Here is a 6896-nt window from a genome sequence, read left to right on the forward strand (position 1 = left end):
TCGTGCCACTCTACTCCAGCCTGGTCAACAGAGTGAGACCCTGTCTCAAAAAAAAAAAAAAAGGCAATTGTTATTAAACTTCGAGATCTTGAAAAAAGAAAAAAGAACAAAATGCAATTGTCATTACAGCAGTCTGTTTTCTTTTTGTTTTCTTTATCTTTTTTTTTTTTTGAGACGGAGTCTCACTCTGTTGCCCAGGCTGGAGGGCAGTGGTGTGATCTCAGCTCACTGCAAGCTCCGCCTCCCGGGTTCACTCCATTCTCCTGCCTCAGCCTCTGGAGTAGCTGGGATTACAGGCACCTGCCACTACAGCTGGCCAATTTTTTTGTATTTTTAGTAGAGACGGGGTTTTACCGTGTTAGCCAGGATGGTCTTGAACTGCTGACCTCATGATCCACCCACCTTGGCCTCCCAAAGTGCCGAGATTACAGGCATGAGCCACCGCGCCCGGCCAGCAGTCTTTTTTTTCTGTTTCTTTCTTTTTTTTTTTTTTTTTTTTGAGACGGAGTCTCGCTTTGTTGCCCAGGCTGGAGTGCAGTGGCGTGATCTCGGCTCACCGCAAGCTCCGCCTCCCGGGTTCACGCCATTCTTCTGCCTCAGCTTCTTGAGCAGCTGTATTTTTTGTATTTTTAGTAGAGACGGGGTTTCACCATGTTAGCCAGGATGGTCTTGAACTCCTGACCTCGTGATCCACCTGCCTCGGCCTCCCAAAGTGCTGAGATTACAGGTGTGAGCCACCGCACCTGGCCCAGCAGTCTCTTTTTTCAAAATCCCTCTGTGGGTGTCACCTGGCCCCAGGCTTGCTTCAGCGACACTAGTCTACTTTCAGTTCCATGCTCCTGTCATGTTCCCTTATATGCCAGGCCTTTGCACAGGCTGTTCCCTCTGCCTGGCACACTCTTCCCTGTTTTCTGCCTAGCCAACTGTGCGAATCCTTCAGATCTCATTTCAAGCACTGCTTCCTTAGGAAAGCTTTCGTGGAGCTCCGATAACGAGCCGCTATGCATCTGTCCAATGGGGAACGTGGCAGAGAAGCCTTTTGACACTTTATTGGTAGAATTTGTCGATTCATGTCTATTTCTTTTTTTTTGAGACGGAGTTTCACTCTTGTTGCCCAGGCTGGAGTGCAGTGACACGATCTTGGCTCACTGCAATCTCCGCTTCCCGGGTTCAAGCGATTCTCCTGCCTCAGCCTCCCGAGTAGCTGGGATTACAGGGCCTGCCACGACGCCCTGCTAATTTTTTGTATTTTTAGTAGGCACGGGGTTTCACCATGTTGGCCAGACTGGTCTCCAACTCCTGACCTCAGGTGATCCGCTGGTCTCAGCCTCCCAAAGTGCTGAGATTACAGGCGTGAGCCACCGCCCCCGGCATTTTTTTTTCTTTTTTTTTTTTGAGACAGTCTCTGTCACCCTGACTGGAGTGCAGTGGTGTGATTTCAGCTCACTGCAACCTTTGGCTACTGGGTTTAAGGGATTCTCGTGCCTCAGCCTCCTGAGTAGCTGGGATTACAGGCACCTGCCACCACGCCCAGCTAATTTTTGCATTTTTAGTAGAGATGGGGTTTCACCATGTTGGCGAGGCTGGTCTCACACTCCTGACCTCAAGTGATCCGATCGCTTCGGCCTCCCAAAGTGCTGGGCAACAGATCGAGATCCTGTCTGCAAGAAAACAGTACAACACAAAAAAACTAAGTGTCTTGGCTGGGTGCGGTGGCTCACACCTGTAATCCCAGCACTCTGGGAGGCCGAGGCCTGCAGACCATGTGAGGTCGGGAGTTTGAGACCAGCCTGACCAACATGGAGAAACCCCGTTTCTACTAAAAATACAAAATTAGCCTGGTGTGGTGGTGCATGCCTGTAATCCCAGCTACTCGCAAGGCTGAGGCAGGAGAATTGCTTGAACCCAGGAGGCAGAGGTTCTGGTGAGCCGAGATCATGCCATTGCACTCCAACCTGGGCAACAAGAGTGAAACTCCTTCTCAAAAACAAAAACAAAAAAGACTAGGCGTGGTGGCTCATGCCTGTAATCCCAACACTTTGGGAGGCTAAGGCAGGTGGATCACAAGGTCAGGAGATTGGGACCATCCTGGCCAACATGGTGAAACCCTGTCTCTACTGAAAATACAAAAATTAGCTGGGTGTGGTGGCAGGTGCCTGTGATCCCAACTACTAGGGAGGCTGAGGTAGGAGAATCGCTTGAACCCGGGAGGCGGAGGTTGCAGTGAGTCGAGATTTTACTACTGCACTCCAGCCTGGCAACACAGCAAGACTCTGTCTTAAATAAATAAATCAATAAAGTGTCTTAGTTGGTCCCACCCTATGGAGAGGCTGGGTTTTCCGGAATCTGCTGGAATGTGGCAGGGGCCACTAAATGCAAATGTGTCATGGCTGCAGGGTTGACAGACACCCTGCAGCAAGAGGGAGGGAGGTACCAGTATGTTGCAGTTCGAAGGTGGCTGGAGAAGTATTTCAGGGCCATTCCCCCAAGAAGACAAACCCTGGACCAGTCTTTTTAAAATTTAATTTAATTTAATTTTAGTATTATAAAGAAAAATTAAAAAACGGGCCGGGCGTGGTGGCTCATGCCTGTAATCCCAGCACTTTGGGAGGCCGAGGCGGGCGGATCACGAGGTCGGGAGATCGAGACCATCCTGGCTAACACGGTGAAACCCCGTCTCTACTAAAAATACAAAAATTAGCCGGGCATGGTGGCAGGCGCCTGTAATCCCAGCTACTCGGGAGGCTGAGGCAGGAGAATCGCTTGAACCCGGGAGGCGGAGGTTGCAGTGAGCCGACATTGCACTACTGCACTCCAGCCTGGCAACACAGCAAGACTCTGTCTTAAATAAATAAATCAATAAAGTGTCTTAGTTGGTCCCACCCTATGGAGAGGCTGGGTTTTCCGGAATCTGCTGGAATGTGGCAGGGGTCACTAAATGCAAATGTGTCATGGCTGCAGGGTTGACAGACACCCTGCAGCAAGAGGGAGGGAGGTACCAGTATGTTGCAGTTCGAAGGTGGCTGGAGAAGTATTTCAGGGCCATTCCCCCAAGAAGACAAACCCTGGATCAGTCTTTTTAAAATTTAATTTAATTTTAGTATTATAAAGAAAAATTTAAAAAACAGGCCGGGCGTGGTGGCTCATGCCTGTAATCCCAGCACTTTGGGAGGCCGAGGCGGGCGGATCACGAGGTCGGGAGATCGAGACCATCCTGGCTAACATGGTGAAACCCCGTCTCTACTAAAAATACAAAAAAAATTAGCCAGGCGTGGCGGCGGACACCTATAGTCCCAGCTATTCGGGAGACTGAGGCAGGAGAATGGTGTGAAACCGGGAGGCGGAGCTTGCAGTGAGCCGAGATCCCGCCACTGCACTCCAGCCTGTACGACAGAGCAAGACTCCGTCTCAAAAAAAAAAGACAAAGAAAAATTAAAAACTAGACACAGGGTCTCCCTATGTTGGCCAGGCTGGTCTCAAACTCCTAACCTCAAAGACATCTGCCCACCTTGGCCTCCCAAAGTGCTGGGATTACAGACACGAGCCACAGCGCCCAGCCTCAGCCGCTGTTTCATTTCAGCCATGCAGGGCCTTGCAGGCAAAGCCAGGCCTTTTGGATTTTACTTCAAATGCTGTAGGGACCTGATGGAGATTTTCAGTGAGGGAACAGGATGGCCTTTTTCATGCTGAGAGTTCTTTTGTTGCTCCAGGAATACAATTGACAGGTAAAATTCAGGATGCCCAATTAAATCAGAATTGCAGATAAACAATACATTTTTTTTGAGACAGAGTTTTGTGCACTGTCTCTCTCTCTCTCTCTCTCTCTCTCTCTCTCTCTCTCTATATATATATATATTTTTTTTTTTTTTTGAGACAGAGTTTTGCTCTTGTCATCTAGGCTGGAGTGCAGTGGTGCGACCTTGGCTCACTGCAATCTCCGCCTCCCGGGTTCAAGCAATTCTCCTGCCTCAGCCTCCCGAGTAGCTGGGATTACAGGCGCCCGCCACCATGCCCTGATAATTTTTTGTATTTTTAGTAGGCATGGTGTTTCACCATGTTGGCCAGACTGGTCTCCAACTCCTGACCTCAGGTGATCCACTCGTCTCAGCCTCCCAAAGTGCTGGGACTACAGGCGTGAGCCACCGCCCCCGGCATTTTTTTTTTTTTTTAAGACAGAGTCTCACTCTATTGCCCAAGCTGGAGTGCAGTGGCGTGATCTCAGCTCACTGCAACCTTCACCTCCCGAGTTCAAGCGATTCTCCTGCCTCAGCCTCCTGAGTAGCTGGGATTACAGGCATACGCCACCACGCCCAGCTAATTTTTGTATTTTTAGTAGAGACAGGGTTTCGCCATGTTGGCCAGGCTGGTCTCACACTCCTGACCTCAAGTGATCCGCCCACCTCGGCCTCCCAAAGTGCTGGGCGGCAGATCGAGATCCTGTTTCTAAGAAAACTAAAACAGTACAACACAAAAAAACTAAGTGTCTCAGCTGGGTGCGGTGGCTCACGCCTGTAATCCCAGCACTCTGGGAGGCCAAGGCCTGCAGACCATGTGAGGTCGGGAGTTCGAGACCAGCCTGACCAACATGGAGAAACCCCATTTCTACTAAAAGTACAAAATTAGCTAGGTGTGGTGGCACATGCCTTTAATACCAGCTACTTGGGAGGCTGAGGCAGCAGAATTGCTTCAACTGAGGAGGCGGAGGTTGTGGTGAGCCGAGATCACGCCATTGCACTCCAGCCTGGGCAACAAGAGCGAAATTCCATCTCAAAAAAAAAAAAAAAAAAGGTCCGGGCGCAGTCGCTCGTGCCTGTAATCCCAGCACTTTGGGAGCCTGAGGCAGGCAGATCACGAGGTCAGGAGATTGAGACCATCCTGGCCAACATGGTGAAACCCTGTCTCTACTGAAAATACAAAAATTAGCTGGGTGTGGTGGCAGGTGCCTGTGATCCCAACTACTAGGGAGGCTGAGGCAGGAGAATCGCTTGAACCCGGGAGGCGGAGGTTGCAGTGAGCCGAGATTTTACTACTGCACTCCAGCCTGGCAACACAGCAAGACTCTGTCTTAAATAAATAAATCAACAACGTGTCTTAGTTGGTCCCACCCTATGGAGAGGCTGGGTTTTCCGGAATCTGCTGGAATGTGGCAGGGGCCACTAAATGCAAATGTGTCATGGCTGCAGGGTTGACAGACACCCTGCAGCAAGGGGGAGGGAGGTACCAGTATGTTGCAGTTCCAAGGTGGCTGGAGAAGTATTTCAGGGCCATTCCCCCAAGAAGACAAACCCTGGATCAGTCTTTTTAAAATTTAATTTAATTTAATTTTAGTATTATAAAGAGAAATTAAAAAACAGGTCGGGCGTGGTGGCTCATGCCTGTAATCCCAGCACTTTGGGAGGCCGAGGCGGGTGGATCACGAGGTCGGGAGATCGAGACCATCCTGGCTAACACGGTGAAACCCTGTCTCTACTAAAAATACAAAAAAAATTAGCCAGGCGTGGTGGCAGGCGCCTGTAGTCCCAACTACTCAGGAGGCTGAGGCAGGAGAATGTCATGAACCCGGGAGACAGAGCTTGCATTGAGCCAAGATTGCGCCACTGCACTCTAGCCTGGGCGACAGAGTGAGACTCCGTCTCAAAAAAAAAAAAAAGAAAAAAGAAAGAAAAATTAAAAAATAGACACAGGGTCTCCCTATGTTGGCCAGGCTGGTCTCAAACTCCTAACCTCAAGACATCTGCCCATCTTGGCCTCCCAAAGTGCTGGGATTACAGGCACAAGCCGCCGTGCCCAGCCTCAGCCGCTGTTTCCTTTCAGCCATGCAGGGCCTTGCAGGCGAAGCCAGGACTTTTGGATTTTACTTCAAATGCTGTAGGGACCTGATGGAGGAACGGGATGGCCTGTTTGGTGTTGAGAGTCCTCTTGTTGCTCCAGGAATACAATTGCCAGGGAAAATCCAGGATGCCCAATTAAATCAGAATTGCAGATAAACAATACATTTTTTTTGAGATGGAGTTTTGCATGCTTTCTCTCTCTCTCCCTATATATGTATACATATATATTTTTTTGAGACGGAGTTTTCTTCTTGTCACCTAGGCTGGAGTGCAGTGGTGCGATCTTGGCTCACTGCAACCTCTGCCTACCAGGTTCAAGCGATTCTCCTGCCTTAGCCTCCCGAGTAGCTGGGATTACAGGTGCCCGCCACCATGCCCGGCTAATTTTTGTATTTTTTGTAGAGATGGGTTTTCTCCATGTTGGCCAGGAAGGTCTCGACCTCCTGACCTCAAGTGATCTACCTGCCTCAGCCTCCCGAAGTGCTGGGATTACAGATGTGAGCCACTGCGCCTGGCCATCAATGAATGATTTTTAAGCATAAGTATATCCCAAATATTGCATGGGATATACTTATACTAAATATTTCTATCTTTCCTCTAAAATCCAATTTAGGTCGGGCACGGTGTCCCAGGAGGCTGAGGCAGGAGAATCGCTTGAATCCAGGAGGTGGAGGCTGCAGTGAGCCAAGATCAAACCACTGCACTCCAGCCTGGGAGACAGAGGGAGACTCCGTCTCAGAAACAACACAAAACCAAAAAAGGTGGACAGAGAAGGGTAGAGGCAGGGGACGGGGAGAAGTGGGAGATTCTGGGCAGTGTGGAGACCGAGCCCCTCTGGCTTATTGATGGATTGCACATGGGCAGATGGCACAGGCTCATCACTAGGAAGACTTTGGCATTGATCCTAAGTGCGGGGGAGGAAGCCGAAGCTGCTGTAAGCAGAGGAGACACAGGATCTGACTCAGGTATGAGACCCACAAAGCAGCCCTGGGGCTCAATAGCAACCTCTGTGAATTACACCAGCACACAGTTTCTCCCCCTGTGTACTGTGATATTGTGGGTGGC

General features: G+C 49.9%; 1 annotated feature.

Annotated features, from left to right (window-relative positions):
• Positions 4216–5209: an enhancer, noted in NCBI's record as "H3K27ac-H3K4me1 hESC enhancer chr19:4887083-4888076 (GRCh37/hg19 assembly coordinates)". NCBI's record gives its function as "activates a minimal SCP1, AML or CMV promoter by ChIP-STARR-seq in primed H9 embryonic stem cells {active_cell/tissue: H9 hESC(primed)}" and the evidence as "EXISTENCE:reporter gene assay evidence [ECO:0000049][PMID:30033119]".

The sequence above is a fragment of the Homo sapiens genome, chromosome 19, assembly GCF_000001405.40.
Source record: "Homo sapiens chromosome 19, GRCh38.p14 Primary Assembly".
NCBI lineage: Eukaryota > Metazoa > Chordata > Mammalia > Primates > Hominidae > Homo > Homo sapiens.